The sequence below is a fragment of the Homo sapiens genome, chromosome 20 (genome assembly GCF_000001405.40).
Source record: "Homo sapiens chromosome 20, GRCh38.p14 Primary Assembly".
In the NCBI taxonomy this organism is placed as follows: Eukaryota; Metazoa; Chordata; class Mammalia; order Primates; family Hominidae; genus Homo; species Homo sapiens.
The window spans coordinates 37860976-37884584 of NC_000020.11; the positions used below are offsets into that span (position 1 = coordinate 37860976).

The window sequence follows — 23609 nt, forward strand, 5'->3', positions numbered from 1 at the left end:
GTGCAGTTTCAGGCATCCATCGGGGGTCTTGGAACATCCGTCGGGATGCAGGGGACTACTGTAACTGGAATTCTGTAGTGAATTGAAGCAATGTGGAGTGGTGGAGAGTATGCCTGCCTTCTGGGCCTAGCTCTGCCTCCTCTAGCTGCTAGCCTGTCACAGCTAGGAGAAATTTTGCAAAGGTTACAGGAGGTACTACAGCATCCAGTCTGTACCTGGCACACAGCGGGTGCTCAGTCAGTGTGGGTTTCCCTCCTCCTCACCCACCCCATGGAGTTCCCCAAATGCTGCTGGATCTTTGACTGGACCTGACTCAGCTGGAGAGGCCTCCAGTCGGTGAGCAAGCCCCCAGTTACAAGGCGGGGCCCCTGTTCTGAGCTCTGAATGCAGCCCCACCGTCAGCCACCTAGGCACTAACTGGAGAGCGCTGGCTGGTACGTGTGGCAGTGGAGGCCCATGTGGGAATTTCCAGTACTGACGATGCCGGAGTTCAGGGAGTGTCCAGATGGACTGGGTAACTCTAGACAAATCAGTGTTCACCTCGGGCCCTCATTCTGCCCATTTCTAAGATGAAGGACTAGGCTAGATTTACTCAGAGAGCTTACCTTTCAGTTGCTTTTAGCTCCCATTCCAGGTGGCGGATGAAATGTGAGGATAAACATAGTCTACACAGTGAAGTGAAGCACGGTTAAGAGCGTGGGCTCTAGGGTCAGAGGCTTGTGGATCCAAATCTTGGCTCTGTTGTTTACTCTGTTACCTCAAGCAAGATACCAGTTGCTCTGTGACCTCCTAGAAAGGGCAAGGGGATTGAATGAGGTGACACAAGTTAACAGTGAACGTTAGTGTGAGTGTTACAAAATACCAGGAAGATCATTGTCATTATTATTTTAAGTGAGGCATGGCCAAAATCCTGTGGGAAGCCTTGTGAGAGAGGTGGCATTGAGCTGGTCTGAGAGGCTAGGACAGAGACAGTCCAGAAAGAAACAGCAGTGTGAGTGAAGGCATAGGGGCTGGAAATCTCGTGTCTGCTCAGCCCTCCCCATCAGGGAATGGTAAATCCATTGCACCCATTTTGTAGATGGAGAGTATGAGGCATTGGAATCTGTTGTTTTCTCCTCAGAGAAAAAGAGAGTAAAGGGGTCTGATGGACACAGCCCCACTCATGCCTTCCGGGGTGACACCCTGGGGGCTTCTTCTCATTCTCAGTGTCAGATTCGCGTGAATTACTGCTCAGAGCCTCATTTTGCCTCCTCCCTAAGGTGTAGCTGTGGTGATTTGCAACTCCAGCCTTTAAATGGCATTTACTTCTAATGCCCACATGTTCAATTAGAACTTCTTATTACCCTCAGCTCTACTATCTTGCATTGAGCCTTCTCCCTGCACCTCCATCCTTGTAATCAAAACAGTGATCTTCCAAGAAAGGAAAAGTATTTTTAATGGGTGCTGACATGTAGTAGTAGTAGTTGGATGTTTTTCTTTCTCAAACCCTGCCACACACACCCTAAGTGATTCACAATTTTCCATTGTTGTGAGCCCTAGCCTCTGTCTCCCTCGGATCCTGGTTTATTTCCCTAGTGCCTTTTAAGGTGCTGACCCCATACTGGATACTGAGTGGATGATTGTTGAGTGAGTGCCTGGGCAAGCGAGCAGGTGAGCGAACCAGTGAAGGGTCTGCACAGACGCCATCTTCATTCCCACCCCTCTGTTTTTCTCCCCCACTGCTTTCTGCCCACCCTCACCTCCCCCACCTCCATGCAGACCCTCGCAGCCATCCTTCCAGGCCTGGGCTCAGCCCTTCATTTCTCTCCCCATCACCCTTCATAGCCAGCTCCTTAGTCCATCCCACCTCTTCTGTCTCCGAACTCAACCTTGAATCCATCCACTTCTCTGCATCCATTATTCCCATGATAGCACCCTTTTTCTTTCCATCCGAGCCCTTATCACAACCTATGATTGTTTTTATTTATGTGTTTGTTTACTCCTTTTGTCTGTCTCATACATTAGAATATAAGCTCCATGACGGACATTGTCTGCCTTGTTCACTGTGTCTCCTCAGCACCCAGAGCAATGCCAAGCAAATAATGGGAACCAGTAACAATTTCAGACATTGTGGAATGAAACCCTACCCTTGTATGAATTTAACGTAGCAAACATTGACTGTGACTCTCCTCGGGACTAGCTGGGCACAGTGCTAAGTGCTGTGCTATGGAGGTGTCACACGGCAGCTGCCCTCATGGAGTTTACAGCCTTCCAGGGACATAGAGTATAAATGATTGACCATAATCCAAGCCCAGTGAAATGCACGCTCCAGGAACTACTCAGCTGGCCCTGCTCAGTGCCAGGCTCTGTGTCCAGTCCTAGAGATACTAAAGGAATAAGCGAGATCCCTATCCTTGAGGCGTTCACAGTCTAGGGGGAGAGGCTCAAAACTAATTAGAACGTGCTAAGCACCCGTCAAGTTGTGAACAGTGTGCTGAGGGAGGGAGTGGCACGGAGGCAGTTATGTAAGCAGGGAGGGAGCCACTTCTCCTCCTCAGGACTAGGACTGGTACCCAAACCAGGCAGAGGGAGCAGAGGCCTGGAGGAGGACAGGGCAGGATGCAGTGGCCTTGGGGAGGACTATAGCCCCTTCAAGGGAGGCCAAGAAGAGGTGCAGGAGGCTGTAGTGTTGGGTGGGGTGTGGCTGGGCAGGGCTCCTGAGTTCTCCTAGGTGCACAGTGAGTTTGGGGTACAAGGGGTGACTGCATCCCTTGATTGGCCAGCAGACAGCGGACATTCTCATTAGTCCCTGGGGAATCGTTTGGGAAATTTGAGGTCATCAGTGTGGAGGTGATATTTAGAGCCTGGGAATTAAACGCCATTGCTCAGGTTGAAGAGGCCCCAAACATCACGCTGGCAATTAAAAGAGTTCTCTCTAGATGGAAGGTTGTCATAAAGAGTTCTCAGCCCTCCCGCTGGTGTGCCCCTGTCCTGCCTCACCCACGGCAGGGGAAGCCAGTCTGCAGCAGGGTGTGGAGCCTGTGCAGTGTGGCCTGCCTCTGGGAGCACCCCCTGAACAGGGTGCTGCAAGGACCCTGAGGAGCCCTCACTTGGGTGGAGAGGGTGGTGCTGAGGTTGACAAGGTTGAGACTCCCATGGAGGTGGAAGGGGTGGGAGGCTGGGCTCTTCTGGGACCCCCGTCCAAAAGCCCATCTGGTTCTCCTTTTCATACCACGCCCCCCCCACCCCACCCTTCCTTCAATCAAAAGCCCAAGAAAACAAAGCCTCATAAAGAAAACCAGCTCATCAGTCTGTCCTCTTTGATTTTAATTTTGTTTTTCAGTTTGGGTTGCTTCCTTTTTTTCTTTAACATACTAATTAGATGCAAGCTTTTTTCTTTGATTTTATGGCCTACATATTTCCTAAGTTTTGCTGGCAGGATGACAGCTGATGTATCCCTTGAGGTCTCAGGAAAACGCTGATGAGGCAAGCCCAGCGGGGGACTTTTCCCGTTATTTTTCAGCCCCCACTCTCACAATTTTCTCCCTCCTCTATTGGGGGTGCCAAGAGCGCAGGGAATAATTGATGGCTCATTACAGCCCCTGTCTCTGCACACTGCTTACTCAGTGCTCCCGACGTCCAGCCTTCCCCAGAACCAGCAGCAGCTCTGGCCTGAGGACTGTGGGCCCTCCTAGGGAACCGTGGTCTGAGGACTGAGACGGCCACAAAGAGAAGGGCAGATGGAGCCATGTGCTCCATGAGAACAGCAGCAGACTTACTGCCATTTATTTCTGTGGTGCTCGGCACCCTGACTGGCAGAGAGGAGGAGTCAGTTACTGCTGACTGGGGTGCGTGCTGAGGTGGTGCTGTAGGCTTCTTCTATTCCAGAAATCCAGGACCATGGTAGGTAGAGTAGTCACTTACCGAGCTCCTACCTCCTCTGGGTCAGGCCTTTGGGGTACAGTGTCATTACCTCTGGTCCTCACAACAGGCCTAGAAAGTGGGGTAACAAGGAAACTGAGACTCACTGAGCTTAGTGGGGGTACCTGGGTCTCTGGTGATGTAAACTGGATCCAGACTCAGAAGGAGCTATGCACAGCGGTAAGGAATGTGCCAACTGCTGATTGGCCCATATGCTCCTATGGGCTTTTAGGAGAGAAGAAAAATGCAGGGCACTCACCTTTAGAGAGCACCAATTTGACATCACAGGGTGCTAGGCAGGCTTCTAAGATAAGTGAGACACTCAGGAGACCCTGTCCCCAACAGGCATACGTCCCTCACAAGTGAGGTGACTGACCATAGCGCAAAGCAGAATGGAGCCAGTGCTGGGATGCAGAGGTACAAGGGGAATGAAGACGGCACAGTTAACTCACAGTTAATCCGGCTGGACATGAAAAGGAGCCCAAAGATCCAGGGAAGCTGTACGGAAGGCATGGCTTCTTTTTTATTTTTTATTATTGTAGTAATAATTTATCGTTTTGACTATTACTACCATCACTACCATCTATCCACAGGCCTTTTTTTCATCTTGCAAAACTGGAATTGCCCGTTCCTCCCTCCCCCCAGCCCCTGGCAGCCACTATTCTGCATTCTGTCTCTGTGGCTGCCTGCATGGGAAGGGTTTCCGCAGGCAGCTACGCATGGGCATTGTTGAGCAGTCATCACCTTGGCTGTGGCGTAGGAGCTGTGACCCGAGAATGCTTCGAAATACAAATATTTGTGCCAAGGGTTGCAGTGGAAGCCACTGGCCAGTCTTATCGATGTTTTAGTCTCCTGGTGAAAGTTGTTGGAGGACCACACAGATGCCCAGGAGCAGCCATGGCTACTGCACAGTGGCTGGTTTGCAGAGAAAATCTTAGAGGATTACTGACTCAAAACTCTCTCACTGCTGGGCGAAAAGAATGAGCCAGAAACTTAAATGCTTTTAGAATTTGGCCCATGGCCCTTTGATTTGCGAGTATTCTTTATGGTTTAAAATCTCCTCCTAGTAGCTCATAAACATGTATTTCCATATTGATTTGGGGCTCTTGGTAACCCAATTTGTGTGATTTTAAAGCTGCAGAGGCTGATAGGATTTATCTTTGGATGACATGTTGGCATGTGCGTGGCTTGCGCCTGGTCATGGATACGGTGTCCCACAGGGTATTTGGAGGCAGGAAAGGATCATGGAGAGAGGCCTGTATGTTAGCCCTGTAGCCAGCGGCCTTGACAAGGCTCAGAGGCATCTTAAGGACACCTCAAGAGCTTTTCAGCAAAGATGTCACATTTGCCTTAGGATTGCTGCCCCCGGGCCTCACACCCAGTTCACCCAAGAGGGCTCTCGGGAAGCGCTGCCCGGGGTAGTGTGGTGGTGGTATGCAGGGGTCGGGGGGAACCACTCTTGGAGAACCAACTGTGCTAAGACCATGGAGCCTGCAGTGAGTTGCCCAGGTTCACAAGCAAGCTCTGTCGCTTTCTAGTGTCTGACCTCAGGCAGCTCTTCCCCTCTCCAAGCCATAGCTCCTGCATCTGTAAGATGGGGAGAACCTGTCTCAGAAGGCTGCTGTGAGAATGAGGTGAAGTGCTGTATGTACAGTGCTCGCATGGTGGCTGGCACCTAGAAGAAAGTGCCTGTTACATGTTAGCTGTCTTTATTGTTATAATTAGTGTCCAAGCTCACCCAGGAACAGAGATGCTCAGACCAACATAAATTCTGGATCTCCATGTAACTCTGGGCAAGTTAGTAGGTAACATATTTAAGTCTTGGTTTCCTCCTCTGTAAAAAACACAAAGAAAAAAACACCTAAAATAAATATTGCCTCTCTCAGGAAGCCTCCAAAGTTAAAATGCAGTTGGGTGCCTGGGACCAAGTTACATACTCAGTAAATGGAAGTTCCTTCCTTCCTTGACCTAATCCTTTCGCCTGGAGTTAGCAGCAGCTTGGACTGAGATGCCACCAGGAAAAGCAGGGACCAGCACACAGGCTCGACTTCCCCGGGGCCTTGTGGGGGTGGGTGGTTGTCAGTGGGTGCTTTTCCAACTGTGTAAAACATCCATGGGACTCTGAGAACATGACCATTGGCATTGTAAGCAAGAGCAAGGGTCTTTCTCTGTAAGTGGGTTTCATTTGAATGGCATCCCTGATGAAATGAGAACCTACTGCCTAGCAAAATATTCTACTTCTGGAGAAGCGCAACTTTCAACCTTCCAAGTTCATTGTTGTTGTCAAGGAATCTCTGTTAGACCTGAAGGATTTTCCTTTCTCAGTTTCTATTTTGTGGTTATATGTACATCTTCAAGGGTTTTCAATGTGAAAATATTGGGCATTCCTCCTCTCTCCTCCCTCTTCCTCCTGCATTTTTAAAAAGGTGAACATGTAAGGCTTAAGGTTCATGGATCTGAACCAGGCTTGTGAATACTCATCCAGGTCTCCGCCCTGGAAGACGACTTTTCCCCATCCACCAGCCCCAGTGCCCCCTCCCTCTCCCTCTCAACATAAACAGAACAGCTTGTATTCCATGTCTGAATAGTAAACCTGCTGTCTAAAGTTTGCTTTAATATTTATGCGTTCAGCACTGCTGCCTGTTTCTGAGTTCCATCAAAGCCTTTATTATAAGAGCATTTGAAAATGTGGGGGAAGTAGAGAAAGGAGTTGACGTGTATGCCGTCTTTCTCACTCTCCACTGACTTAGCCTCTTCCCTCTCTCCCCTCATCCTTTTCTCCCTCTCCCCTCATCCTGCAGTCTCTTTTCCTCTTACATACACATGCACACACGCACACACGCACACACACATGCAGCAGAGAGAACTCTTTCCCAAGACCTCTGGGAGGACTCTGTTCAATATTTAAACTGCTGCAGCAGCTGTAATAACCAGAGGTAGCTGGCACCACCAAGATTTGCTCTAAATAGGACTCTGCCATAGAAACAAAGAATGAGCAAGGGCAAAGGGTGAGGTTGAGGTGCCTGAGGGTGCAGCTTCCCCGGGCAGTGGATGAGCACTAGGCCAGTGGATGAGTACTAGGCCGGGTCGTCGGACCTGGTTCTGGGCCTGGCTCCGTGGCCGGCTCACTGTGGGACCCTGGCCATCCACGTGCCCCCTCAGGGCTGCAATAAATTTCTGAGAACCCTTCCAACTCTGATATTTGGTAACTTGGCATAAGAGAGGGTGACCCCAGCCAGTCCACCCACATCTGTCCTGGCCACCGAGGCCACTGTACCATAAGACATTCCTGTTTTGGAATGCTCACAGAGCAGAGTTTTTTTTCCCAAAGACTAGGGGCCAGGCAGGGTAGCCTGTTGCTTAGGTAACAGGATGCTGCTGTGAGGACCGGCCCCCTCCCAGTGGTTTTTTAGGGGCCTTTTTTTTTTTTACTATCCACACATTTCAAGGTTTGAATTCCGGCTCCTCTACATCCTAGACTTGGGCGGGTTGCTTCAGTTCTCTGATAGCCTCTGTTTCCCCCTGGGTAAGTAGGGATGGTGTTCTTTACCTTGTGAGATTGATGCAAAGGTTACATGTGAGACAACCTAGAAAATGCAGGCACATAGCAGTGCACAGCACATGTTAGTTCCACTCCGCTCTGTATGGGACAGGCCCTCTTCCAGGGGACACTAAGCCATTCACTGCCTGTGGGCCAGTCGGATATCCCCTTTCCAGAGAATGGGTGATGTGACTGTTTGCTTCTTAGCACAGTTGGAGTGACACAGGAGACTTGCGCATAGGATGGGTGCTCTGTGTACCGTCGGCATATGTAAGCGAGGCCTCGGCACAGGTGATTCGGCAAAGGGATTGATGCAGGTGTGGGTTCCCTCTGCTTCGTACATCCCTAGAAAGAACTCAGGGAAGCCGGCTTTACTGTTGGAAAATCACTGCCCCACAGCATCGGACTGTTTCTCCACTTCCCTCTCTCCTGGGTCTGAGAAGACATTAGGAGAGCAAAGTGTTAGCTCAATCCATTAAGACTCCTGCTTCCAGACCATGCCTCCGGGGATATTAGATGCCATAATGGTCATTTCTCTCTCTCCTGGGGCAGCAACTATATCATTCACATGTGAGTAAGAGATACCACTTACACACAGCCCCAGAGCCTTCTGCCAAAGCTCAGTTCCTGTCTCCATCACCCTGGCCCTCTCTCTAAGGGGCCTTAATAGGAGGCATCACAACCACTTGCTGTTGGAGGTGATGGATGGGCCTAACAGAAGAGGATTTCTGGGGGTAGACACACAGCTGGCACATGCCTGAATCCCACATCCCATTTTCTGGCACACGACCAAAGTAATAAAGAGGAACGGGGCAAAATAAAGAGGTAGCAGGAGCAAAATTACTTCCCCAGCATTGGCAGGGGTGGGGCTGACAGGGGAGGGGTGAGAGGTCACATGCTTTGTCTCCCCAGTCTTTGTCTGGTTTGGATCAGCAGGTGTTTTATTATGCAAAAGCCTCTTACTAGAGAGTTCTCTCCATTTTCTTTCTCAAGCCAGGCCCCAGTAAGGGACCAGGGGGCAGAAGTGCAGGCAGCCATCCTAGTCACCCACTGCAGGAGATCCTTCAGCACGACACTCTGCTGGGGGGCCCTCGGCCAGGCTTAGCTGGGAGGAAGGCGAAAGCCCCTGCCTTCATGCAGCTCTCTGTCTAGGGAGAGAGGGGCTGGGTGGAGGATGGTCTAGCAGTCAGGCCCACATGTGCTGGAGGCAGTGGCCTGGGGCCGGGTGTGGGAGTGAGAGGTGACCAGGCAGGCTTTCACAGAGAAGACATCTCAGGAGGGGACCCGGAGGAGGTGTGGGACTTCCCCAGTGCCATTACTGGCCTGAGCAAAGGAGGCTGAGGGAGGGAACTAATGTTCCCTGGACGTTTGTTATTTGAACATTTTCAGAGGGGACCACCCAAGGGCACAGTTGTGAGTCAGAGCTAGGATTTGATTGCCTTTTCCTCTCTGGCTGTGGGCAGGGGACAGTCAGAGGGCAGTGAAGGGTTGGACCACCCCATCCTCCCCCTTCCCCTCCCACCAGATCCCCTACACTTGCTCTAGGAGCCACCGCAGGAAGTCCAGAGTCACCAAATCATCCCTCGCCATCTCCTAAAAAAAAAAAAAAACAGGGTGACCATGTTATTTTGGGGGACGAGGACACTAAAAAAAAAGAAATGGCGTCTTAAGGATCACTGTGCTGGGACAACAGGGGAGACAAGAACACAAGCCTGCCCACCATGACACTCTCTGATGGCATCCTCTGCTGATCTGTTGCCAGAACTGTGCCCAGAGCCTCACCCTCCTCAGGAATATTTCCTTTCTCTTCCTGGTCTCACTGAAACCTGGTGCTCCTACACCCCTCCTGCCACTGGAGACATAGGAGGGGTCTTCCATGCTCCAGTACTTCTAGACTATTCTCTCTCCCTCCCTTCCCCGAATACACCCAGCTGTCGAAGTTTGTGTCGGGGGACTGCACCCCCCGACAGCCCCTCCCTGTTGTTGGCACCAGCACCTGTGCCCCCAGTCCTTGCGGGGATTCTGGGCTCACTGTCAGCCTCCCCAATGCTCTTGTCATATTTCTTGGTGATTGCAACATCCATATCTCTTTCTCACACCCCATTTCCGGTCTATCTGTAAATCCTATTGGAGCCACCCTCAGAAAACATCAAGAAGCTGAAGACGTCGCCTCACCTCCACCGCTACCTGCCCAATCCAGGCCACTGTCACGTCGCATCTCCTTTCCCTGCCTTTGCTTCCCCCATGGTGTCCCCCACACAGCATTGAGAGGGATCTGGCAAAAGTCAAATCACGTCATTCCTTTCTGCTCAGGACCCACCGCACAGAAAGGCCACAGCCCTTACCGTGGTGCACAGACCCACACCATCTGGGTATGGCCCCTCCCGTGGCTCCAGGCTGTGGCCACGCTGACCTCTTCGCTGACCCTCAGATAAACCAAAGAAGTGCCTCCCCTTAGATCCTCTGCCCTGGCTGCCCTGCCACTCGCTCCTAGACCTTTCCACACTCATCTCCTTCTGATCTTTAAGCAGATACTCCCTGCTGACAGCCACCTGTGTATTTTGTTCACTTTTTGGTTTGTGACCCTCACTAGAAAGTAGGCTCCACACAAGCAGAAATTTGCATCTGTTTCTATCACTGCTTTATTCCCATTCCCAAAAAAAGGTTCTCAAACTGGAGCATACATCAGCATCACCTGGAGACTCAATAAATCCCAGATCACTGGGCCCCACCCGTTTCCTGTTAAGTGGGTCTAGGGTGGTCCCAAGAATTTGTGTTTCTAGTAAGTTTCCATGCAGTGCTGCTGCTGCTGCTGCTGCTCGGGTCCACACTCAGAACCACTCACCCAGAGCAGTGCCTGCCCAGCTGGTGTCTGTCTTAGTCTGTTCGTGCTGCTGTAACAAAATCCCTGAGACTGGGTAATTTATGAAGAACAGAAATGTACTTCCTCACAATTCTGGAGGCGGGGGGTCCAAGAGCACTGCCCCAACCTTTGGTGTCTGCTGAGGGCCGTCCTATTGCATCCTCACATTGCAGAAGGGGGAAGGGCAAAGGGTCTTGAGAGTTCCCTGCAGTCCTTTTGCAAGGGTCTAATCCCCCTAGATTAGACCTAATCTAGACCTAATCTAATCTTATAATTAGATGGTAAGAACCTAATCACCCCATAAAGGCCTTCGATGCGTTGAGGATGAGGTTTCAGCATGAGTTTTGGAGGGGACACAAACATTCAGACCTTAGTAGCATCCACGCCATGTGTGTTGAGTGAATAAATACATGAGGGCGGAAGTGAAGGGTGTGGCTAGGAGGGGAATCCAAGCATGGAAAGGTAAGTTGGGACCTTTCCACTGAGGCCTCAAAGGCAAGACCCCAAGGAATTTGGCTACAGTGGGGGCATTAGGGCGACTTGCACCTCTGTGGGAGCTGGGGTTCTGGGAAAGGTATGAAGCGACGCAGCCACGGTGGATGCCATGCCTGGGATCCACTCCTGACTCTATCTTTGTCCCCCTAGAGTATGCAGAGAACATCGGGGACGGCCGGAGCCCGGAGTTCCGGGAGAACGAGCAAAAGCGCATCCTGGGCTTGCTGGAGAACTTCTAGAGGCACCTTGGCCCTGCGCATCATGGACTCTCTCAGCTTCCCTCCCAGGATCAGTTTCTACACAACTCTGTGTGGCTTTTGGACAAATTAAAGCTAGTTTTGGTATCCCCGGGCCAGTTTTCTTTGTAGTTAAGCTTCGCCTGCTGACCCTCCCTGCCCCCTCCCCACAGCAGCTACTTCAGGACTCCCCCAGGGAAGGCACATGGGCAGCCTCACTCCGCCTGCAAGAAAGCTGAGGCTCAGAGGGTGTAGCAGTGACAACTTCGCCACTGTGGCTACGCAGGTGGTGCTGCTGTGAGGCTGGACTGGGGACCCGCCTAGAGTCTAGATGTGGGACCCAAGGCCCTGGCCTCATGCTCCAGTTCCCTGGGGAGGCCAGCCACACAGCACAGCCCTCAGAGCATGCAGAGCCCTGCCGCGTGTCAGACCACTCGGGTGGGGGCTGCATGGAGAATTACCAGATCCCAACGTGGGCCCCACCGCAAAAATAGCATCCAATCTCTCAGTGAGGCCCTGGCATTTGGGCTGTTTAAAGCTCCCAGTGGTTCCGTGCATCAGGGTGAGAGCCACTGCTTTAGAGTGGACAGGTTTGGGTCCATCTCCCCACTGCATCATTACCAGCTGTACATTTTGTTTTGGTTTGGGTTTTGTTTTTTTTTTTTGAGACGGAGTCTCCCTCTGTCGCCCAGGCTGGAGTGCAGTGGCGCAATCTCGACTCACTGCAAGCTCCATGTCCTAGGTTCACGCCATTCTTCCGCCTCAGCCTCCCGAGTAGCTAGGACTACAGGCGCCCGCCACCATGCCCGGCTAATTTTTTTGTATTTTTAGTAGAGACGAGATTTCACCGTGTTAGCCAGGATGGTCTCGATCTCCTGACCTCATGATCCACCTGCCTCGGCCTCCCAAAGTACTGGGATTACAGGCGTGGGCCACTGCACCTGGCCGGTTTTGTTTTGTTTTTCTTTTTAAGACACAGGGTCTTACTTTGTGGCCCAGGCTGGAGTGCAGTGGTGCAACCACAGCTCACCGCAGCCTTGACTTCCTGGGCTCAGGCGATCCTCCCACCTCAGCCTCCTGGGTAGCTGAGAGGGAGGTGCCACCACATCTGGCTGATTTAGCTGTACATTTGGATAAGTGACTTTCACCTTTCTGAATCTCACTTCTTAAACTGCACAGTGGGGCCAATAATACCCATTTGCTGCTGAGGATGGCATGCTCAGCAAGCCTGCAGCGCAGTGATGAAGGCACAGTCGTGGCTTGGTAGCTGCTGCTTCCTTTGGTTCTTCCCACACACATTTGTGACTTCAGAATTGTGATTTCAGGCCAGATGTGATGGCTCTCGCCTGTAATCCCAGCACTTTGGGAGGCCAAGGCGGGGAGGATCTTTGAGCTCAGGAGTTCGAGACCAGCCTGGGCAACATGGTGAAACCCCATCTCTACAAAAAATAGAAAAATTAGCCAGGCATGGTGGCACATACCTATGATCTCGTCTACATGGGAGGCTGAGGTAGGAGGATTGCTTGAGCCCAGGAGGTCAAGGCTGCAGTGAGCTATGATCATTCCTCTGTACTACAGCCTGGGCAACAGAGCAAGACCCTGTCTCAAAAAATAAAAAAGAACTGTGATTCTACTCATTCGACATAGGTGATGAGAAGGTTGGTTTCCCCCTCAGAAGTCAGCAGTGCTTTAGCATGTTTTTAATCAATCCTCAAAGAACAGAGTCCCCATGAGTGAGGAGGCAGAAGAGTGGCCAGATGAAGAAAGCAGCATTTCATTCCAATGCATTGTGCAGCCCAGGGTCACAGACAGGCTGCTGGGGATGCTACACGCCTCGCACTGTGTCCCTGCCCCTCTTGCTGCTCCCTAGACCCTGAGGGACAGGGCCCCAAGCGGCCACTGCCATCAGGCCAGAGTTGACATGCTGGGTGAAACCTGTTTGCCATCCCAGGAAGCCACCGAGAGGTCCCTGAAGAAGATGGCACCTGCTCTGTGTCCAGCCTTGGGCTGGTGACGGAACAGAGAGTAAGGCAGGCCCTGCCTGCTGGTGCTCACTTGCAGCCTGGCGGGAGAACAATGCATAACTGTAAGCGTCCCCACAGAGAGGGGCAGGAGAGCGCGACAGGGCCTGTCACAGGATCAGATGGCGGTGCCGTCACTTTGGGTCTAATTCTTCCTTGACTTTTCTGTAACTGTAGTAGCTGGCACATATCGAATGCCCAGTGGCATTGTTATCCCCGATTTATGCAAGCTGAGGCTGAGGGCTCAGAGAGGGTAAGTAGCTGCACAAGGCCCTGTGGCCAACAAGCATCAGAACGCACATTCTAGCCAGGCCTGTCCGACGGCGCAGTTCACACCCTCTCCCGCTGAGCTCCTCTACCTGGAAGGGTCACACCGTACCGGCTGACGCCGTGCTCCGATCCTTTCATCTGTTGTGTGGTTTAATGAATTCACAAAAAATAGAGCATGTCCAGGTGTAACTTAGAGAAGCAGACTTCTAGAGCTAAGATCGGTACTTTAGACATCATCAGTCCTTCACCTTGATTTTCTTTTTCAATTTTAATTTTAACCAGGTAATGCTTGCAAACGGTATAGGAGTTCAAAATTTAACAAAAAGCGAGGCAGTGAAGAGTCCACCCACTCCTCTCCCATCGCCTAGGACTTCCTGCCCCTGGAGGCAGCTGCTGCCATCTGATTCTCCTCCAGAGTTCTGTCCAGCATTTTGCCAGCCGTGTTTGGAAGCCCAGGCTACCCACCAGCTCCCAGAGGCCAGCATAGGAAGGAAAGGCCGGGGCGGCTCAGGCACTCCATGGTTGCCGCACCTTGCCCTGCTTCGCATGTGGCAGCCTCCTGAATTCTGTCCCTTTGCTAAAAGCAAGTTGGAACTCTTCTCTTGACAACTGAGGAAGCGGTCCCCTTTTCCATTAGTTTTGTGTGCGGAGGGTTAGGGGCAATGTGAGGTGTAGTCCCTTCGGGTGCAGCAGGGGAGTACGGTTCCAGGGCCCGAGGGACCAAGGAGACAGCGTAAGGAGAAAGCAGCCACCACCACTCCCTGATTTCAACGACCCAAGGCCCCGCAAAGCTTTTCAGGGCGAGGTAGAGCTCCTCATTGCTCACCCTGGGCTCTTGGGGCGTGGTCCCAGCTTTCAGGCAGCTCGCTGTCTGCCTAAAAAACCCTCTGACTCACAAAGCAGCATCTCTCCTCTGGGGGAGCTTCTTGGGCTTCCAGGAAAGGCTGCCCTTGGCCTGTGGCTCCGAACCTGACTTCTTTGCCCACTGAAAGGGCTCAGTCTAAATTTGCCCCTTCAAACAAAGCTTCTTCATGTTCATCCTCATGTCCATAGCTGAGTGGGACCAGACCATAGCATCCAGAGAGGCAGTATTCCTTTTCCAACCCAAACATGGCAATCGGATTGCCTTTTAGCAATATTCGCCAGGGTTTCTTCACAGGGGAAATAGGATTCCACCCTCATTTTCCATGGCGGCTTGCTGCTCCGTTTGTGGTGGTCGCACGCCTGGAATCAGCAGCAGCAAGATGGGCCGTCTCTAATTCACAGAGATTTGCATGCAGGCTGCGTGCCTTCCTTATCTAGGGAGACGCATTGTCAGGGCCGCTGGAAGGCATCCTTCAGTCACCCCCACGGTAGCACCAGTGCACAGGTGGCATCTTCTGCCATTACTGAGGGCGTCAATTTAGTGTCAACAGGGAGACGAGACTCGCTTTCCTAAAGGCAAGGCTTCTTGATTAGATTTCCTTACCCAACAGTAGAGGTAAAAGCAGACCCACATTTTTCAATCTGTCTTGCTCTTTGGCACACATGGAAAGTGGCTGGTAGCACAGCGGTGGGCCTTCGTTATCTGTGCTGGGGAAAATGGCAGGCGTTTCTCAGTCACCTTCTTGGTTAGGTAACACGTGCCCTTGGTGTAAACCTCAGAGGGTGCGTAAGGGCACACAGTGCACGCATCTCCCTGCCAGGTGTGTCTCCTGGCCGCCCAGCACCCCTCCTCAGAAGCCACCACGGCTCATGAGCGGAAGTACCCTTTCCCTTTCAGAGAGACTCCTATGTGTTTTCAAGTGAATAAAAATATTTTTAACACAAATGGTGGCATCGTGTCCTGTCGTGCACCTTGCTTCTCATTCCCCGTCACCACACACAGCTGCCCCCACTCCTTTAATAGGCTCACTGCATCGCAGAGCTGTACCATGATGTTGTTAATTGTGTTAATGGACATTCAGACTGTTTCCGATCTTTGGCTATTACGATGCTGCAGTGATCATCCTTGTGTAGGGCGTCATTTCACACACGTGTGAGTTTAAACTCCCAAGGAGCATTGCCAAGTCAAAGACAGTGTGCCTTTTTCATTGTGATATATATTGCCACACTGCCCTTCTTTTGTCAACTGCGTGCACGAGTGTCCTCTGCCCACACGCACCCTCACCAGCGCGCTGTTAGCTCAGTGCTTCGCCTCGGTGGGTGAACAGTGTGGCCTGCTTGTTGCTTTAATCTGCATTTCTCCTATAAGTGAGGTCATTTAGTGCGCTAGAATCGAATTATGCGTGCATCATATTAGCTAATATTCATTGAGCTCTTGACTCATTGAGCTAAGTACTTTCTTCAGATTAGCTCGTTTAACCCTCGTTCCTGAAGTGTAGGTACTTCCTTTTGTTGTTGTTGCCCAGGCTGGTCCCAAACTCCTGGGCTCAAGGAGTCCTCCTGCCTCAGCCTCCTAAGGTGCTGGGATTGCAGGCGTGAGCACCCAGCCTGACGTGTAGGTACTTGCCTCATCAAGTCCATTTCACAGATGAGGACACCAGACTGAGGGGGTCAGTGGTTTAGAGTGACAGCTGGGAATGGAACCCAAGCAGACCCCTGCTCCTAATCTCAGGGCCACCCTGTTTTCCAGCTGGTTGCTAGAGAGGGCCTGGTGAGGCTGGAGAAGGTGGCGCAGAATACACTGGGAGCAGAAGCCCCAGCAAGGCAGCCCTTCCCCCAACCCCATGACTGAAGCCCGTGCGGCTCTGCAGAGGCCCAGCGCCCTTCAGCCTGTCCCTGCCACATCTCGGTGCCTGGCTGTCATCCTCACCTGCATGGAGGCCCCAGCCCAGGTTTCCTGGCTAGGGATGGGCAGTCACACGGATGTGGCCCTGGCTGCTCTCCCATGGGAAAGGGAGGAAATCTGAGAAACATCTGGAAGCCGGGGCTTTCCATCTGCAGCAGTGAGGAGAGCCACTGTTTGGCACTGCTGCAGTGAGGATTGTTGCCTGTCCCCCCACCCCATCCACCCACCCCTGCCTGCACACAGAGCCCAGGTTCCTTCTCGTCCAGATCATCCCACCAGTCTGCTCTCCTCACCCCATGTTGTGCCTCCTTCCATACACCTCCCAGGAAGCACTTGCTGAGCATCTACTGTGTGCCAGGCCCAGGCTGGGTGCTGAGGGGTACACCGAAGTTTGAGATGCGGTTTGAGCTCTCAGCGTAGTCACACAGGGCATCACTGTAGAGTGACAGGGGGCTTCATAGAGGTGAGCAAAGGCTGTAGGACAGAGGAGGGCCCCATGCCTGGGGGACCACGTACCCTGTGTCTTGAGCAACTTTCACCAGAGTCTTAATGATGGCCGTGAGCCTCGAAAGCTAGAGGTGGAAAGTCTTTTGAGGCAGAGGGAACTGCCCAGGCAGAGGGCTAGGGCACAATAAGACACAGGGCTCTGGGGACTTTGGGGCTTTCAGCTGCCTCATTGGAGGCCCCAACTACCTTGACGTTGGCACGGCATGGGGGTTCAATGAGCTCCCGGCCATGGCAGAAGCTGACAGGCTCTGGGGTTGTGCTGGTCCAGAGTCACAGAGCTTGTTCCCGGACAAGTCCTGTGTCTACTTCCCCTAGGCTCTTTCAGTCCCTGAATGAGGGGGAAGCAGATTCCACTGCAGGGTGACAAGCAGGGCCATCCGGGCAGCACCGAGGAGCCGTAGGAAGTCCACAGCCCCTGGGGAGCAGCTGGGGAAAAGCCACCAGGGGACTGACTGACAGAGGCCAGGGCTAGAGAAAAGGCTGGAAAAGGCTCCAATCTGCCTGCAGCTCCTGGAGCCTGCTTGAGCCAGCCCCATCCAGGAAACCCCCAGGAGTGCAGGGGTGGGCACCTGCCCTCAGCCCAGCTGCTGTGAGCCACGAGCATGACCCTCACACTCAGTCTCAGTTCTTCTTCACTCAATGACAGCGAGTGTCCAGCCTGGGGAGTCCCACGTAGACCAGTACCTGTGGCTGGGTCACGGTACCCAGCCGATCCTCCACCACTCATGGCTCCATCAGTTACTAAACACCCCTCATAAGCCACATAGGGGAACAAAACAGACGTTGTCCCTGGCCTCCGGGAGCGTGCATCCTCAAGCGACAGACCAAAAGACAAACATGCAAACAGTTACATCAAGTGACAACTGAGTGTTATGAAGGAGCAACCAAGGTGCAGCGGGATGCAACAAGGAACGGGGGACCTCAGGCTGAGTGGCCTGGAAAGCCCTCTTTGATGAGGGCCTTAGAGCTTGAGCTAATCTCCGAATGACGTCAAGGAGTCAGGCAGCCAAAGAGCCGGGGAATGAGGGGGCCTATGCAGAGGCACAAGTGCAAAGGTCCTGAGCTGAGGCAGAGCATCGTCCTCTAGAAAAGAGTCCAAAGAGGCCACTGTGGCTGGACCCAAGAGTGAGGCAGAGGACGGATCTTACAGGGCCTTGAGGGCTTCAGGGGAGTTTTGAGCCTGGAAGGGACATGATTTGATTTTGGAAAGATGCCTGTGGCTGCTCTATAGAGGACACTGTGGAGACCAGCGTGGAAGCAGAGATCCAAGAAGTGTCTGGTGCACGCTGGACCAGGAGGAGACAGACACTGGTTCTTCAGACCAGGAATGGGCATGGGTTGGAGATAGGGGATTTGGGATGTATTGAGGCAGAGCCAACCAGTCACTGCAGAGAGGGGCCCCTGGCTGGCCCTGGGAGCCTTCCCCCAGCACAGAGGGCTGGGAGCAACTTCACTGGCCCCGCAGGAGTGGGGTGGAGCCAGCAGAGAGAGCTGCTCAGTATATAAATATCTTTAATGAATAAATAGAAGTGCTTTTAGGGCTGGCGGAGTCGTATCATTTCCACCTGCCGTAAAATTTCATTAGAAGCAGGCGCTGCAGGGGAGAGGAATGGCTGCAATAAATCTGCCCGCCCACCCTCAGCCCTGCCTCCACTCTGAGTCGGCTCAGCCCCACTCGCTGGAGAGTCCAGACCCAGACCCTTCTCCCCAGGCCTTCCTGGGGCCCAGGAGAGCCTGGGCCTTCCCTGCCCCACTCCCACATTGAACAGGCAAGAGGCGGCAGAGAGCTGTGGCTTGTCACTGAAAACCAGGGGCCTCACTCCCCTCAGCTGGGAAATGGGCATGACAGTTTCTGCCCCCACCTAATGCAGATGAGTTTCAGGGGAAGCAGTGTTCAACACAGGGATTCCTGGAACAGCAGAGCTGGGGCAAAGCATACCTTGCAGGTATCCAGTTTTACAAATGAGCAGAGGCCCCAAGAGAGTAGATGACTGTCCTCGGCCAGGCACAGTGGCTCACGCCTGTAATCCCAACACTTTGGGAGACAGGTGGATCGCCTGAGGTCAGGAGTTCAAGACCAGCCTAGCCAACATAGCGAAACGCCATCTCTACTAAAAATACAAAAATTAGCCGGGCATGGTGGCATATGCCTGTAATTCCAGTTACTCGGGACGCTGAGGCAGGAGAATCACTTGAACCCAGGAGGCAGAGGTTGCAGTGAGCTGAGATTGCACAATTGCACTCCAGCCTGGGTGATAGACTGAGACTCTGTCTCAAAAAAAAAAAAAAAAAAAAAAAGAGTAGGTGACTGTCCTAAGGTCACACAGGGTCTGCAGGTCTGGCACTCAGAAACTACCAAAGTGACAGCTCCAGTCTTTAGCATTAATCAAATGCTTGGCTCTATACTAAGCATTTGGCATGCACCATCTCACTGAGTCTTATTACTAGCCCATTTTGCAGATAAGAACACTGAGGCTCAGAGAGAACTAGGACCCACACCTTCCCATCAGTTAGTGACAGACACAGATGAGTATTCAGGTCTCTGCCCTGCCACAGAAGCCTTTTTCTGTTTTTTTCAAGTATGGCGGGGCTGGGATTATGTTTTCCTGGACATACAAATTGTCAAAGTGAGAGTCTTTGGAAGGACTTGGGGTAGAAAGTTCACTGAGTGCTGGCCAGGCGTAGTGGCTCAAACCTGTAATCCTAGCACTTTGGGAGGCTGAGGCAGGTGGATAACTTCAGGTCAGAAGTCCAAAACCAACCTGGCCAACATGGTGAAACCCTGTCGCTACTAAAAATACAAAATTAGCTGGGCGTGGTGGTGGGCGCCTGTAATCCCAGCTACTCGGGAGGCTGAGGCAGGAGAATCCCTTGAACCTGGGAGACGGAGGTTGCAGTAAGCCGAGATCGCGCCATTGCAGTCCAGCCTAGACCCCATCTCAAAAAAAAAAAAAAAAAAGCTGACCAAGTGCCTACTGTGTGCCAGGTAGTCTCTGAACCGAATGAAGGATGCTGTCCCTAGCACTTCATTGCATCCCTGTAGCTTCTTCCAAGGTAGCCATGCTCACTTCCATCTTACGGATAAGAAAAGGAAGCGCAGAGAAATCAAGGGATTTGCCCAAGGTCGCACAGCTTTGCCTCTGACCTTGGCCATGGCTGTCAGCACTCAGAAGAATTGGAGACCCATAGACCCCTCCCTCGGCCCCATGGCTACCTCCCCCAGCCCATGAGTGTGAGGCCAGGAACACTGGCCAAATGGACAGGCCCAGCTGGCAACATGCCAGGGCCCATGGTTATCACTTAAGCTCATTAAGCAGCCGTGACAGGACGTGGCCTGGGCCAGCTGTCTTTCCTCCCCACCCCACTCCAGCCCTCCTGGGAATAGGACCTGATGACAGGCACTGGCTTTCAGCAGCTGCAAGCAGAAGTCTCTCTGTCATGGGGGAAGATCCAAAGATACACGGACCGAACTTCCCCAGGCTGGCCTCTGGGCCCCACCTGCTGCCTGACCTCCTCCGGGCTGGGCACGTGGACCCGTGTGGTGAGTGAGCACAGGACGTGGACGCTGGAGCCAGGCTGCCTGGGCTCAAATCCCAGCCCTGCTGCTCCCCAGCTGTGTGAGTTGCTTCACTCCCTGAGCCTCAGTCTCCTCATCTGTGATATGGGGGGACCCCTCGCTTTGGAGACCTGCCACAAGCTGATGCACGCAAAGAGCTTGATCAACTATAAAGTGCTGATCCAGGCTCATGTCGTCATTACTGATATTCCTGAAATACCGTAAGATGAGACTAGACTGTTCCCCACTGGACTACAACGTGATTCGTCATTACTTATACCAGAACAACTGAACAAACCTGTAAAACATCAATCATCAGCAACCACCCAAGGCAAAGTCCCTTAGGAGCAAAGAGTGAGCAGTATGCCTATATACACAACAAGTGCTCTTTAAACCAAAGTGCTGTGGGCCTGAGCCGCTAGTGGATTCCAGCCACGGCTTCCAGCCCCCATGGATGCTCCCTCATCTGTCGGCTCACAAGGCCACCCACCTCCGTTTCTACTCCCCGGCCCCGCTACTTCCCATTTCTCCTTGGCCAATTCTGTTCCTTGCTCAGGACTAGCTCTGGGCTGGATGCAGCCCTCTCTGGGAAACAGGAGCACAAGTCCTGCCCTGGCGAGGGAGACAGATGCAGACACAACCCGCCATCAGCCAGGTCATGATGAGTACAGGCCCTGCTGCCTGAGGACGGGGCTGGTTTTCATCCGTTTCTGCACTTGGTGCCCAGCACAGGGCATGCCACCCTGGAGGTGTGCCTCCAACACGCCTGCAGCAGGTCGCTTCTGAGCACTTAGCATGTGAGCCGGCCCTGGGCAGGGCTATGGGGATTTCACAGCAAACGAGGCAGAACGCTCCCAGCCCTGCTGCCTTTGAGGAGCAGGAGACCCAGAGTAAACAGGCAGGCAGACACACAGCCAGGCAGCTTGAAAATAACAGAGTGACTGGAAGGGAGGGTGGCCACTCGGGCTGGACAGTCAGGGAAGGTCCTCGAAGGAGACGATGTCAGATTGAGAGTGGACTGACGCACGCACCAGCCGCCGGGGGAAGCTGGGAATAATATTCTAGGCAGAGGAAATAGTGAGGCAAAGCCTCGAGTGTGCCTCACATATTCCAGGAGCAGCCAGATGGGTGTGTGAGTGAGGGGAAGACGAGGGGGCTCAAAGCAGAGGTGGGATCCTTGAGACAGCTCAGTCACCTCACCTGGCCAGAGATGAAGGCCACTCCTGAATTCATTCACCCACCTCTCCCATCAGCCTTTCGTCTAGCCATTCATCCATCCAGCATGTACTGGTCCCCTCTCGGGGCAGCTCCTCCCTGGTTTGGAGGATTTGAGAGTGACTGAACTGACCCCTGCTCTCTGGAGCAGCTCATGGTCTCATGGGAGAGACCTTCATGCTAAGAGACGATCCCAACCCAGTGACGAGCACACGCAACCGGGGACACAGAGTCAGGAGGGAGGAAGAGCGGGAGGTGAGAGGACGGAGGGGTCAGCGCAGCCCGGCTCCACCTCGGGACAGTGGGTCTGCAATGTCATCCTCCCAGACAAAGGACAGTACATTATTAGTGTTATTAATTATCATTAATCTATTTAAATGGTAATTACAATTAAGAACACAGTGACAAAAATGGCACCTTGGATTTAAATGCCTCTTCTCTGGCACCGGAGTGAGTGATTTTTTCCTGAGCTCAGCCCCACACCCTGTCACAGCACAGCACATTTAGCAGGTGCTCGGCCAACCTTTAAGTTCAAATTCACAGCTCAGGCATCACAAGGCCCAACTCCCCTGTCTTACAGATGGGCAAACTGAGGCCCCAGAAGGGGAAGGGACAGGAACCAGGTCACCCGCAAGTCTATGGTGAAGGTGGAGTGAAGCCAAGAAACCCGATTCCCAAATGCCTCCCAACTCACTCCATCTCTAGCTGCCTTTATTTTTTTCCAGGAAAAAACAGCTGTCAGAGGCAGCCACCCTGTTACCGATTAAACAAGGCAAATTCTATCGGAACAGAATCGGAGGCACTCCGGACACCTAATTACACAGTCTGGAAGAGAAACACAGGCAGGGAAATAGAAATATGAACAAACAGCACCGCCAGACAACGGGGCGCCCTCCCCACCACCAGAGCTGCCACCCCTCCCCCTCAAGCCTCTGCGACAAGATGTGTCTCCCAGTCCTCAAATAAGATCCCCGCTCCCCAGGTGGAGGCTCACACACAGACCTCCCCTCTTCCCCACAGCACTGATCCAGGGCTCCCAGAGATGAATGGGGAGGCGTGGAAGTCATTTCAGGTGTCATTTCAGGTTGACAGCCAGGGCAGCCCAGCTGGGGCCCAGCGAGATTGGGCAGAGCTGGGCTTGAGCCCACACCTGCTGACCCTGGAGACGGGGCTCTGCCTGGGGTGCCTCCTGTGGGTGCTGCCTCTCTTCTGGCCAGCACACCTGGAGGTCTGTCCCCAGGAGGGTTAGTCCCATCCAGTAGCATCACGGGCAGGAAGCTGGACTTGGCTGTCCCTGCCTGCTGCGAGATTCTGCTATTGTATCTCAGGAGGATGCAAGCAGGTGAGGGCAGAGGCCCTGTCTGATTCCATTTCCGTGTTCCCCACATTGGCCGGCACCAGGGCAGACAGGAAGGAATGTGCCAGTAATGACGCTGGGCTCTAGGGAGACAGAAATGAGCAAAACAGACAAAGATCTCTGCTTTCAAAGAACTCATGAAGAGGAGATGGACACTAAACAACCTAACCAACCAACCAAAGGGAGGGAATCCAATGATACGATTTCTGATAGGAATAAATGGTGGGGTCAGACGCGGTGCTTCATGTCTGTAATCCCAGCACTGGGAAGCCAGGGCGGGCAGATAGCTTGAGCCCAGGAGTTCAAGACCAGCATGGGCAACAAAGTGAGACCTCATCTCTACAAAAATTTAAAAATCAGCCAGGCATGGTGGTGCATGCCTGTGGTCCCAGCTACTCAGGAGGCTGAGGCAGGAGGATTGCTTGAGCCAAGGAGTTCGAGGCTGTAGTGAGCCATGATGGCACCACTGTACTCCAGCCTGGGCAAGAGAGTAAGACCCTGTCTCTTACAAAAAATAATAAATAAATAAATGATAGGAGGCCAGGCGTGGCGATTCACGCCTGTAATCCCAGCACTTTGGGAGGCCGAGGTGGATCACCTGAGGTCGGGAGTTCGAGACCAGCCTAGCCAACATAGTGAAACCCCATCTCTACTAAAAATACAAACTTAGCCGGGCATGGTGGCGTGTGCCTGTAATCCCAGCTACTCAGGAGTCTGAGGCAGGAGAATTGCTTGAACCCAGGAGGTGGAGGTTGCAGTAAGCTGAGATCACGCCATTGCACTCTAGCCTGGGCAAAAAGGAGCAAAACTCTGCCTTAAAAATAAATAAATAAATAAATAAATAAATAAAATGATAGGAAGCAAATGCACAAGCTAAT

General features: G+C 52.6%; 1 protein-coding gene across 4 annotated transcripts in view, besides 2 other annotated features; it reads left to right on the forward strand.

Moving 5' to 3' along the window:
• The window catches only part of CTNNBL1 (catenin beta like 1), a 178089-nt gene extending 166946 nt beyond the window's left edge, over positions 1-11143 (forward strand). For all 4 annotated transcript variants that reach the window (XM_024451947.2, NM_001281495.2, NM_030877.5 and 1 more), the window contains one exon: positions 10950-11143. In XM_024451947.2, coding sequence (XP_024307715.1) covers positions 10950-11038 — 89 coding nt within the window. In that variant the 3' untranslated portion in view covers positions 11039-11143. The remainder of the gene's footprint in view (positions 1-10949) is intronic.
• Positions 15525-16025: an enhancer, noted in NCBI's record as "H3K4me1 hESC enhancer chr20:36504902-36505402 (GRCh37/hg19 assembly coordinates)". NCBI's record gives its function as "activates a minimal SCP1, AML or CMV promoter by ChIP-STARR-seq in primed H9 embryonic stem cells {active_cell/tissue: H9 hESC(primed)}" and the evidence as "EXISTENCE:reporter gene assay evidence [ECO:0000049][PMID:30033119]".
• Positions 16026-16526: an enhancer, noted in NCBI's record as "H3K4me1 hESC enhancer chr20:36505403-36505903 (GRCh37/hg19 assembly coordinates)". NCBI's record gives its function as "activates a minimal SCP1, AML or CMV promoter by ChIP-STARR-seq in primed H9 embryonic stem cells {active_cell/tissue: H9 hESC(primed)}" and the evidence as "EXISTENCE:reporter gene assay evidence [ECO:0000049][PMID:30033119]".